Consider the following 12,668-nt stretch of genomic DNA (forward strand, 5'->3'; position numbering starts at 1 on the left):
AAATCTTATTCAAAAGAACAGAAGTGGCTGGGCATGGTGGCTCATGCCTGTAATTCCAACACTTTGGAAGGTTGAGGCAGCAGGATCACTTGAGGCCAGGAGTTTGAGACCAGCCTGGGCAAAAGAGTGAGACCTCATCACTACAAAAATTAAAAAATTAGCATAGTGCATGCCAGTAGTCCTAGCTACTTGGGAGGCTGAAGTAAGAGGATTGCTTGGGCCCAGGAGTTCGAGGCTACTGTGAGGTATGATCCCACCACTGCCCTCTACCCTGGGTTACAGCATGAAACCCCATTTAAAAAAAAAAAAAGAAAAGGAAGAAAGGGAGGAAGAGAAGGAAGGAAGGAAGGAAGGCCAGGTGTGGTGGCTCATGCTTGTAATCCCAGCACTTTGAGAAGCCAAGACAGGTGGATCACTTGAGCCCAGCAGTTTGAGACTAGCCTGGCCAACATGGCAAAACTCCATCTCCACAAAAAATACAAAATTTAGCTGGGAGTGATGGCACACACTTGTAGTCCCAGTTACTCAGGAGGCTGAGGAAGGAGGATTGCTTGAGCCTAGGAGGTAGAAGCTGCAGTGAGCAAAAATTGCACCACTGCACTCCAGCCTGGGTGACAGAGTGAGACCTCATCTCAAAAATAAAATAAAATAAAAATTTAAAGGCTTTAATAAATTTTAAGAGAAAGGAAGGGAGGAAAGAGGGAGGGAGGGAATGAGAGAAGAAAGGAAGGGAAGGAAGGAAAGAAGCAAGGAAGGAAGGAAGGAGGGAAGGGAGGGAGGGATGGGGGAAGGAGGGAGGGCAGGATGGCAGAAGCTAATTAAGATATAGTTGACAAATAAAAATTGTATACAGATGCTCCTTGACTTACAGTAGGGCTATGTCCCAATAAACCCATGGTAAGTTGAAAATATTGTGAATGGAAAATGCACTTAATACCCCAGATAAACCCATGGTGAAGTCAAACATCCTAAGTCAGGACTGTCTGTGTATTTACCCAAGGTGTACAATGTGATGTTTCTATATACGTATACACTGTGAAATGGTTACATCAAGCTGGTGAACATACCCATACCTCACATACTTACTTTTTGTTGTGGAGACATTGAAGATCCAGCCTCTCAGCAATTTGCAAGTACATAATACATTATTATTAACTGTGGTCACCATGCTACACAATAGATCTCCAGGACTTGCTCCTCCTCTCTAACTGAAACTTTGTACCCTTTGACCAACATCTCTCCATGCCCCACCCTAGCCCCTGGCAACCACCATTCTACTCTCTGCTTCCCAGTTCAACCTTTTGAGATTCCATAAGCTGAGTCTTTATTGTAGACTCAGATATTCTTGTGCGAGCACTGATGAGATGACTACCCCAAAGCCGACATGGTGTAATCAAAGTGTGCATGCTGATACATTTCCTTAGTTCAGGAATTTCCCCGGTGTGATCAAGTTCTCATGTCGGCAGCTGAGAAAGCCACTGACAGCTGGGGAGCTATTTTCTCCTTTAGTCACATGATGATAGAGATAATCCTGGATGGGAAGTGTGGGGGAGAGAAGGAGGAGAATGTTCGTTGTTCTGTCCAGAATTGGTAAGGGGGCTCCTAGAGCTTCCTTTCCTGTAGACTCAGCATCTAAATAACTCGTGATGTTATCTTGTACGTTCAATGAGAAACAACTGGATCAGATCAACAAAACACTTGAGGTATCAGAAAGAAGCCTCAGGTTTTAAAAAATCAGCCTTATTTTTCTTTTGTTGTTTTTTTGTTTTTTTGAGACGGAGTCTCACTCTGTCACCCAGGCTGGAGTGCAGTGGCACGATCTCGGCTCACTGCAACCTCCGCCTCCTGGGTTCACGCCATTCTCCTGCCTCAGCCTCCCGAGTAGCTGGGACTACAGGTGCCCGCCACCATGCCCGGCTAATTTTTTGTATTTTTAGTAGAGACAGGGTTTCACCATGTTGGCCAGGATGGTCTCGACCGCCTGACCTCGTGATCTGCCTGCCTCGGCCTCCCAAAGTGCTGGGATTACAGGTGTGAGCCACCGCGCCCAGCCAGCCTTATTGTTATTTTTAAGGATCATTGCAAAAAATATTTCATCCAGATTGCATTGTTGCCAAAAACTGAGGAACCCATAACACTCAATAGAATATTGTTTTCCAAGCGTGAGGTCTGGCCAGGACAATTATTCAAAGTTAATCCCTCTTGTTTTGGTCATTAACAAAACAATGATGATGGAACTAAAACAGGCAGAAACTTGGATATCTAGAGTTGGTCTTTGTAAAACGTTTGTATGTACCCTGACTAGGAATCTCCCTGACTGGAGGGAGAGTTACTGTTTTGGAATTTTCCACTGGCTGTCTTAGAGATTCCATGGAATTTACAGGTTAATCCACTCTTTATTTTGTATATATTAAACATTATAAATATTCTGTATTTAATGCTGCTAGGTATATAATATGCACAGTATATACAATATTAAATTCATAATACACCACTGGCTTTCATTTATTGTTTAAGATTGCTTTTGGACAATCAAAGTTTCTTCTAGGCAATGCATATTTTCCCTATTTTGTCCTAAGTGTTATGTGTCACAATATTTACTTCAAGTGATATTTATTGAGAGCCGTCTATGTGCCAGGTGTGTGATATTTGGGCATTTGTTTCACTTCAGAGGGGGTTGTTAATTTCGGCTAAGTTCTGGGTAGACTTCTCCACACCTCTCAGTTTTCTTTCTTTGCCCTTGCCTGATGCCCCATTTCTAGCAATAGTGTAAAAACTTACTTCTGCCATGATTAAATGAGAGGGGCAGGATTCTACTCAATACTCACAATTTTATCTTTAAAACTGAAATCTAATGCTTTTTTTTTTTTTTTTAACGGAGTCTTGCTCTGTAGCCCAGGCCCAGGCCAGAGTGCAATGGCATGATATCTGCTCACTGCAACCTCTGCCTCCTGGGATCATGGAATTCTCCTGCCTCAGCCTCCCAAGTAGCTGTGATTACAGGCACCTGCCACCACGCCTAGCTAATTTTTGTATTTTTAGTAGAGACAGGGTTTAGCCATGTTGGCCAGGCTGGTCTCGAACTCCTGGCCTCAGGTGATCCACCCGCCTCGGCCTCCCAAAGTGCTGGGATTACAGGCATGAGCCACCACGCCCGGCCTGAAATCTAATTCTTGATTTCAACTATAGATTATGGCTTCTCTTTTAACTTACAACTACAAAATATACCACATAGAAGAGATATGAAGAGAAATGAAAGAATACACAAATACATGCTGTTAGGATGATGTGATATTTTTATCTGTTCTATATTTTCATTACTTTTAAGATTCTATATTAAAATGGAAAATAAATAAACTTGCTTTCTTACTAATAAAACCTAACCATTGGCCTTAGGCAATTTCACCCTCTGAAGCCTTCTTTATACTCAGAGTACAAGTGTTAAATATCATATTGGTAGCTTTTTCTGGATTCAAATTGGCCTACAGGTCTCTTACATTCTCTCGAATAATTTCTCTTCCTCAGACTGTCTCTAAATTTTGATGTCTGGCCTTTCTCTTATTAATTTTGCTATCAAAACCATTACCATATTTCTTCTCAATAATTGGAATTTTTATAAAAACATGTTAAATGCTTTTGGCAATCGTTTTATTTCCTACATTGTTTAAGATAAACTTGCCGGCTGGGCACGGTAGTTCACGTCTGTAATCCCAGCACTTTGGGAGGCCAAGGCGGGCAGATCATGAAGTCAGGAGATCGAGACCGTCCTGGCGAACACGGTGAAACCCTGTCTCTACTAAAAATACAAAAAATTAGCAGGGCATGGTGGCGGGTGCCTGTAGTTCCAGCTACTCGGGAGGCTGAGGCAGGAGAATGGCATAAACCCAGGAGGCAGAGCTTGCAGTGAGCTGAGATCGTGCCACTGCACTCCAGCCTGGGCGACAGAGTGAGACTGTCTCAAAACAAAACAAAACAAAAAGATAAACTTGCCTATTTCTCTATAAGTCCCGACTTTACATCTGGATTTGTTTCATTAAGCAAACTAATAAAACTATAGACTCACCACTGATTGCATATCATGAACTGTCCTTGTTCAGGAACACTATGTATAGCTGTGCGGGTGGCTTACGGATGAATGGAGGATATTTGCTAACAGGTGACAAGAGGAAGAGACACCACATGGGCTGGTAGCAGCCCTTTCCTTAGGATTGTGAAATAACATAAAAGACATTTGAGATATCTATGGCCTTGCTTTTAGGCACTTATGGGTTGATAGGGGACACTTAAAAAACAGAAAACAGAAGAAGTTTAGGATAGTACTTTCTTTCTAATTTAATGAATAAACTGTAAATTTCAAAGGTATTTAAGGAAGGAAGAGATGCAAGTGGACTGAAGCATTCAGGTACAGTTCTAAAAGTCAGTGACATTGCCGGGCGCGGTGGCTCACGCCTGTAATCCCAGCACTTTGGGAGGCCGAGGCGGGCGGATCACGAGGTCAGGAGATCGAGACCATCCCGGCTAAAACGGTGAAACCCCGTCTCTACTAAAAATACAAAAAATTAGCCGGGCGTAGTGGCGGGCGCCTGTAGTCCCAGCTACTTGGGAGGCTGAGGCAGGAGAATGGTGTGAACCCGGGAGGCGGAGCTTGCAGTGAGCCGAGATCCCGCCACTGCACTCCAGCCTGGGCGACAGAGCGAGACTCTGTCTCAAAAAAAAAAAAAAAAAAAAAGTCAGTGACATTTAAAAAAGATGATTATGTTAGTTAAGATCAGTGGTCTTATCTATTTTTAGTTACATAAATTTTATGTGGGGACAATTTTATCCACAAGGTAGATTATTAGAGACACACACAGTGGTTTGAGTGGTGTCAGGCACCTCCTTCCTCTTCTCAAATACCTTCTTCTAACCCACCCCGACTTCAATACCTGGAATCTGAGTTAAGGTACGGCCATCATAAATGGTCTTTTAAAAAAGAAGATATTTCCAAAAGGCTAAACCTACCAAACATGATCTACCCAGATGATTCTGATGAATGAGGCTGTTTGTGTCTCAGGTCAAACAGGCCCTCAGGAGAAGATCTGGAGAAGAGACCATAGAAGCCGGGATGCCATCTGATACAGCAGCCTGTGGTTTTGTTTAGTTTGGTTCAGTTATCCATGGTCATCTGTAGCCTGAAGATATTATATGGAACATTCCATAAATACACAATTTTAAATTTCAAACTGTGCTCCATTCTGAGTAGGGTGATGAAATCTCAAGCCATCCTGTTCCATCCTGTCCATTTGTGAATCATCCCTTTGCCCAGTATATTTATGCTGTCTAACAAGCTTGTCCAGCTTGGGGCCTGTGAGCCACACATAGCCTAGGATGCCTTTGAATGTGGCCCAACACAAATTCGTAAACTTTCTTAAAGTATTATGACACTTATATATATATATATAATTTTTTTTTAGCTCATCAGCTATCATTAGTATTTTATGTGTGGCCCAAGACAATTCTCCTTCTTCCACTGTGGCCCAGGGAAACCAAAAGATTGGATACCCCTGCAGTCCAAGCTATCTGCGTGTTGACATCATCGGCTCCTGCGTCCAACCATAGCCATGGTAATGACTCCATGATCCAGTGTCACTGATATGGTTTGGATCTGTGTCCCTACCCAAATCTCATGTTGAATTGTTATCCCCAGTGCTGGAGGTGGGGTTTGGTGGGAGGTAATTGGAGCATGAGGGCAGTTTCACATGGTTTGGCACCATCCTCCCTTGGTGCTGTCCTGCGATAGTGAGTTTTCGTGAGATCTGGTTGTTTAAAAGTGTGTGGCCCCTCCCTCCTCCCCTTGCTCCTGCCACTTAAGATGCCTCACTCTCCCTTTGCCTTCCACCATGATTGAAAGCTCCCTGAGGCCTCACTGGAAGCAGAAGCCGCTATGCTTCCTGTACAGCCTGTAGAACCATGAGACAATTAAACATCATTTCTTTATAAATTACCCAGTCTTGGGCATTTGTTTATAGCAATGCAAGAACAAACTGATAAAATCACTCAAAGCAGGTGACTTGTCTTCTGACATAATCATCAGAAGATGAATAGTAGCCTGACACGCCATCACAATGCCTACGTCATTCACCTCAGCTCATTAAATCCCACAGGCATTTTATCATCTCACATCACCACAAGAAGAAGAAGGGCAAGTATACTACAATGAGATATTTTAAGAGAGGGAGAAGGACTACATTTACATAACTTTTACAACAGTATATTGTTATAATTGTTCTATTTTATTATTAATTGTTATCACTGATCTCTTACTGTACTTAATTTATAAATTAAACATAATAGGTACATATGTATAGGAAAAAAAATACTGTATAGAAGCCTCAATACGAATCTGTGGTTTCAGGAATCCATTGGGGGTCTTTGAACGTATCCTTCGTGGATACGGGGGGACTACTGTACTGTATAAGCTTTATAGAATGTTGAGGTCCTGGGTCACCTCCTCTGTTGAGATTCTAGCAAAGCCCCTTACATAAAAGAGTTCATAAAAAGTTTTATTTCATATAAACAAAGGTAAAAGAGCAGTAGAATCATTCTAACCATAGGTTAAATAGGGAAAAAAGGATTTTTCCCCTGAGTCTACTGTGTTATCAGCCCTTGAGTTCAGCCTTCGCTGTTGCAATTGGAGTGTAATCCATGGGGACAAACTCAGTACAGAGGAGGTGGCTCAGAATGCAAGGACAAGGGCACAAGGTGGAAGAAGAGACCAGAATACTTTTAGCAATGACAAGGAAGGAGACATCAACTCAAAAGAAATATGCAGGACAAAGGAGATGACGGGAGAAATTTTGAGGTAGAGGGGAGAAAAGTTGAAGGAGTAGAAGTTAACACAGTTATCAGCCTCCTTGTCTGGCACATCATGAGATCATGGGCTAAGGAGAAAGGCAGGTTTGGGCTGGAATCTCAAGGGGAACTGAAAAGATTTAGAAAAGCCCAGCTACTGTCCTCTTCTTTCCAATTCCACTATTTTCTGACCTAATCCTGTACAAGAAAATGTTATCAACAAATACGTAGTCAGTGATCTTCATGTGTCTGGCCTGAGAAAATAGCAATTAACCAAACAGACCTAATCCCCATTTTCCTGGAATGTATAGGTCCAATTGGAAAATATGGACAATAAGTATCAAAGAGTTGTGAGGAAGAAGTGTTCACTGGGGGCTAGCCCTTTTGGGGAGACATCATATAGCAGACAGATGCTATGACAGGGCTAGTTAAGGGAAGAGTTCAGGCTTCAAGTTGAGGCTCGTTACTTTCCCCTCCAGACTAGCTAGTTATTTCTTAGTGGATTTCCCTGCCTCCTATCTCTTTCCAGTCCTATATACCACCACCAAACTAACCATTGCTATCATGATTATGCTCAAAAATGGTCAATAGTCCCCCAGTGCCTACTACTTAGGCTTCAAACATTTTAGGCTGAGATTGAAGGCCTCTACCAGCCAGGGCCTAACCTTCCTTCCATACCTGGCTTCCACAGCCCTCCAATCCAGCTAAACTCACAGACTGTCCTTCATACATGCCATCCTTTATTACCTCTCCACTTTTGTCCCTGCCCATCATCTTGAGGGTTTTTCCTCCACAATCCACTCTTAATGTCTCATTTCCGCATGAAGACTCAACTTTCATGTCCATCAGAAAGTGTTCTCTAATCCCCAGTCTAGAAGCAACCTTCCTTTCTTCTGAACATCCATGGAAATTTGTTCATACTTCTTTTAGAATGTTTTTTACGACATTCCTAGAACTGTGGTTATTTTTATACTCTTCACATCTTCCTACTATATTATCAACCTAAAGACAGGATTTGTGGCTCATCCACTCTTAGACTCCATAATACTTTATACTCCAATAAAAAACAGATGTAGCTAAGGAAATACTGTGCTAATGTTTGTTGAAGTTAGTGCTAAAAAAAAGTCATATGAATGGATGCTTGGAACTTCCCTGTGATCCTGCACACATTGATTCTTATGGATATATATTTTTTCTGCATTTCTGGAACACAAATGTTCTAAATGCATACATACTTCATCCATCCATCCATTCATTCATTATTTAATACAAACATATTGAATGCCCGCCATATGCAAGGTATCCACAGGATAGGGAGGGTGCTGGCTCTGGCTTTATGCAATGTACGCACTCATTGATCAATGTTTATGTCATTTTGTTTCCCTTCTTTCCAGACAAAGGGAAGCAAAGACTCACTGCACCTCATTACTGTCAGCAGAGAGCAATGTGTAATTGGAATGACCTTTGTATAAGTGCTGACCTATGGGGTCAGAATAAGCCTTATAATGTACAGAACCAACTTATGTGCAATTTTAACATCGACAGAGAATATTGGCCTTTAAGAAATTCATCTCATATTTATTGTTTGGAGATTTTACTTTCAGAAGATATCAGTTACATTTCCCCTCTTTTTTTCTCTTTTCTGCAATTATTTTCCTGGCATTCATTCAATAAAGAGCTTCAAGTCACTTTTTTAGACTGAAATAAACTTTGATGAAAATTGAAAATCAATGCTTTCCTTCTAATGACGTTAAGAGAAAAGCCTCCAATTTTGCAATTATAATCAATATATAAAGGGGAAGTGGCCACAAATATGCTGCACATCTTAAGAAGCCAAGTGGGTTTGGTTACTTTAATTTTTAAATAATCAGGACATTTAAAAAGTTGCTGTTTATAAAATACTTTTTAAAAATGTCATCACACGCACTATGAGTGCACTCAGTCTTGATGTCTCGCTAAAGCATTAGCTGTCTAGCTCCTTCTCCTCCCAGAGCCTTTATCCTCATATTGGGTCTGGGGACACACATGCCGTCTCTTGATTCCTAAGGATCCATTACCCATTTCTCTGCACAGATCTTCGGGTATCCAACCTATCTGTGCCTCCTTCAGCCAGGAGCCTCCGGATCTTTCCAGACTTCTTTGCAATACTGCCTCATGCACTGAATCCATTTCTCGCATAGCCTGGCGCTTGGCAGGCAGGCTGGCGTTCCCTGGCTCTGCCTTCCCCATCTCCCTGTCTTTTCTCCCACGGCCCATCTGCCCCTCCTTTCCTCCACCCCCTTCTCCTCTCTGCTCCCCTTTATTTCCACTCCCCACCCGCGTGGCTTTGCTCTCCCTCTCCCCCCTCAGCTCGTCTGTATTTGGAGCTCCGGAAGCTGCCGGCGACTCTCCCCTGGAGCAGCGTGACTGACACCGGCTCCTATTCAGCTGGGAGGAGGGAGAGGGGAGGAGAAGGGGAGGGCCGCGGGAGGAGGGTACGAGTGGCCGACCACGGATTTGCATTGCCGAGGACGGGACCCCAGGGCAGCGAAGCAGGTAATCCTGCAGCGGTCGGGGCCCGGCGAGGCGGGGAGGGGTCGGGGTGCAGGTGCGGGGGGCGCCTGGCGGCGGGCGCTGGCAAGTTGAGCCCGATGGGTGGGGTAGGGAAGCGGCCGGGACGCTGCGGCTGTGGCAGCAGCGCGAGGGGAATAAAGGCGGCGCGGGCGCGGGGGCCGGGGCGCGGCGACCCGGGCGCGGGGCGCGGGCGCGGGCGGACTCCCATCTGGGTCAGCGGAGCGGCGCGCCCTGCCCCCGCCTCCCCAGCTCCGGCGTCCTGGCCGCTCGGAAGGCGGGGTGCGGGCAGGAGCTGCCCGGGGTTGGCGGGCGGCCGCGGCCTCCCCACCCCAGCGCCGCCGCCCGCCCGGCCGCTCTAACTTTGGGGGGTCTCGTCCACCGGGCTGTGAGTCTTCCAGGGGGGTGGGGGTGGGAGTCATTGCGCCGGCTCTGACCAGAGCCACCTCGATCAGAAAGTGCTGGAAAGAAACAGACCTGGCTTCCCCTCTGCAGAACCTGACTTGAGGCGATGAGTCACTTCTAAAAAATGCAGAGGCAACTGAGACTGGGGGAACGGCTCGGAAAAACGGCACCCGCCGCTGGCTCTCTGACTGCTTTGGGTAGAGGGGTGTTCGTGGAAGTAGCCGCCGTATCATCACTTTTAGGGCCAAAAATCAACCTGCAGATGGCCTTTTCTTTATTCTCATCAGAGTGGTGTTCGCTGCAAGTTGTAGCAATATTTGAATGGATGCATTCTTAAAAATGAGTATGTATGGGTGACTGCATTTAGGAAGTTGAACCGGGACTAGGTCCAAACAGCCAGAGTGGAGATGAACACTTGGTAAAAACATCTAGGACCTTTGGTTTTATAGTTATGGAAATGCAGAAGCTTCTGGGACTTGAGCACTGTAGTTTACTGAGTACTCCTATTTCCTTACTGCTTCTGTAGATTTCATTGAAGCTATGTTCCTTAGAATTCTTGGTAAACTATCTAAGCCCACTTAGTGTAAAATTACAACGGTAGAGTGAACTTTAGAGAATTGGATTTATAGTTACTAGAGTCTAATTAGACTGCAAGCCTCTTGAAAGCAAGGATGGGTTGTTTGGTAGTTCCTACGGCACCAAACAGTATTTGGCTCACAGCATGTAATGGATAGACAATAAAAGTGTGTGAAATAGTTAATTCAGTACCTTAAGTGTAGATGGAGCATGACTTCTTGAATATACTGCATATTTTGCAAGGAAAGGCGACTTCTCCATGAATCCCGAAATTTAAAAAATTCTTAATAACATTACAATCAAAGTGTCATATAAATACTTCTTAAGGATAAAGAGAAAAAGAAGTTGACTATGAGAAATCAGGAAGGTGATTATCAAGGTGGTCTTTGCTAGTAGGAAGTAAGTTTTTGTTCCCCATCGTTAATGTGAGAAGTAATTTAATTTGTTGATACAGGGTAGGGTTTGGTAAACCTTTGAGTTAAGAGCTAGATAGTAAACATGTAGGTTTTGCAGGCCATATGGTCTCCTTAGCAACTACTCAGTTCCACAGTTATAGTTTGAAAGCAGCTAAAGACAATACCTAAAGGAATGGTATGTTTGTGTTTTACTTTATTTACAGACATTGAACCTTGAACTTTTCACCAGTAACAAAATATTCTTCTGTTTTTTTCCAGGCATTAAAAAATGTAAAAACTATTCTTAGCTTGAGGGAGGAGCAGAAAACACAAAAGTAAGAGAGAAGGGAATGGATTTGTCCTTCTAGTAGTAGTTTGCTACTCCCACTGATTGATTCTGTGCTAGAATCTGGAGAGGAGCCTATTGAAAGGATTAATGGGCCACATTCTCTTGAGTGCCTGTTATACCTTGGCAGTTAAGTTAAATACCCTCCAGAAAAGCATTAACTTATTTTGAGCATTATGGAGTTTTGTTTTGTTTTGAATATTTCCTAACATCTTTATTCATGAGGTTTTGTTTTGTTTTTAATTTATTATGTAACATTTTATATGTAAAAATAATACGCTAAGTCTAGGTGAGTTATGAACATTATGTTCAACTGAACACCTGTGAACCCATCACTAGGTTTATAAACTAGGGCTTAAGAACTAGATAGTTGTGAAAAGATAGCTCATAGAATGGGAGGAAATATTTAGGAATCATGTATCTGATAAGGGTCTTGTATCCACAACATATAAAGAGTTCTTACAACTCAATAATAAAAAGAAAAATAATCCAATTTAAAAATGGGCAAAGGATCTGAATAGCTATCTCCAAAGAAGATATACAAATGGCCAATAAACCCATGAAAAGATACTCAACATCATTATTCATCAGAGAAATGCAAATCAAAACCACGATGGGATACCACTTTATACTCACTAGCATGGCTATAATCAAAAAGTCAGATAATAACAAATACTGGTGAGGATGTGGAGGAATTGGAACCTTTGTACACCACCGATGGGAATATAAGATGGTGCCCTCACTTTGGAAAAGTTTGGCAGTTCTTCAAATTAAACATAAAGTTACCATATGACCTAGCAATTCCATTGTAAATATATGTCCAAGAGAAATTAAAACATATGCTCACAAAAAAACCTGTACACAGATGTTGACAGCAACACCATTTATAATAACCAAGAGGTGGAAACAAACCAAATGACTATCAGTTGATGAGTGGATAAATAAAAGGTGGTATATCCATACAGCGAGATATTATTTGGCCATAAAAAAGAGTGGAGTACTGATACATGCTACAACATCGATGAATCTTGAAAACATTATGCTAAGTGAAAGAAGCCAGTCAAAATATCACGTACTGTATGATCTATTCATTTGAAAATGTCCAGACCAAGGAAATGTATACAGCTAGAAAGTAGATTTTTTGTTGCTTAGGGCTGAAGGGGCTGGAGGTGGGTTGAGTAGGGAAGTGATAGATAAAGGTCACAGGGTTTCTTTTTGAGGTGAAACATGAAAATATCCTCTAATCGACTATAGTGATAGTCGCACGTATCTGTGAATATACTAAAAACCATTGAGTTGTACACCTTTAATGGGTGAATTGTGTGGTATGTGAATTACATCTCAATAAAATTGTTAAAGAAAATAAACAGAAAACTAGGGGAAAAAGTACTAGATTGTTAGTATCCAGTTGCATCTTTGTGTTTTTCCTCTGTGCCTGCTCTCATGTCCCTCCCAACCCTGAATTTTGTGTTAATCATTCCCTGGTTTATTGTAAAACAGTTTTATCACATGTGTATGTATTCCAAAACAATAGTGTTTAGGTTTGTTTTTTTGGTTTATGAAAA

General features: G+C 42.6%; 1 protein-coding gene across 3 annotated transcripts in view; it reads left to right on the forward strand.

The window, feature by feature from the left end:
- Positions 1-9,214: 9,214 nt before the first annotated feature.
- Positions 9,215-12,668, forward strand: part of CAP2 (cyclase associated actin cytoskeleton regulatory protein 2) — a 164,186-nt gene continuing 160,732 nt past the window's right edge. For all 3 annotated transcript variants that reach the window (NM_006366.3, NM_001363533.2, NM_001363534.2), the window contains exon 1: positions 9,215-9,366. The gene's annotated coding sequence lies outside the window, so the exon portion shown is untranslated. The remainder of the gene's footprint in view (positions 9,367-12,668) is intronic.

Source organism: Homo sapiens, chromosome 6, assembly GCF_000001405.40.
Source record: "Homo sapiens chromosome 6, GRCh38.p14 Primary Assembly".
In the NCBI taxonomy this organism is placed as follows: Eukaryota; Metazoa; Chordata; class Mammalia; order Primates; family Hominidae; genus Homo; species Homo sapiens.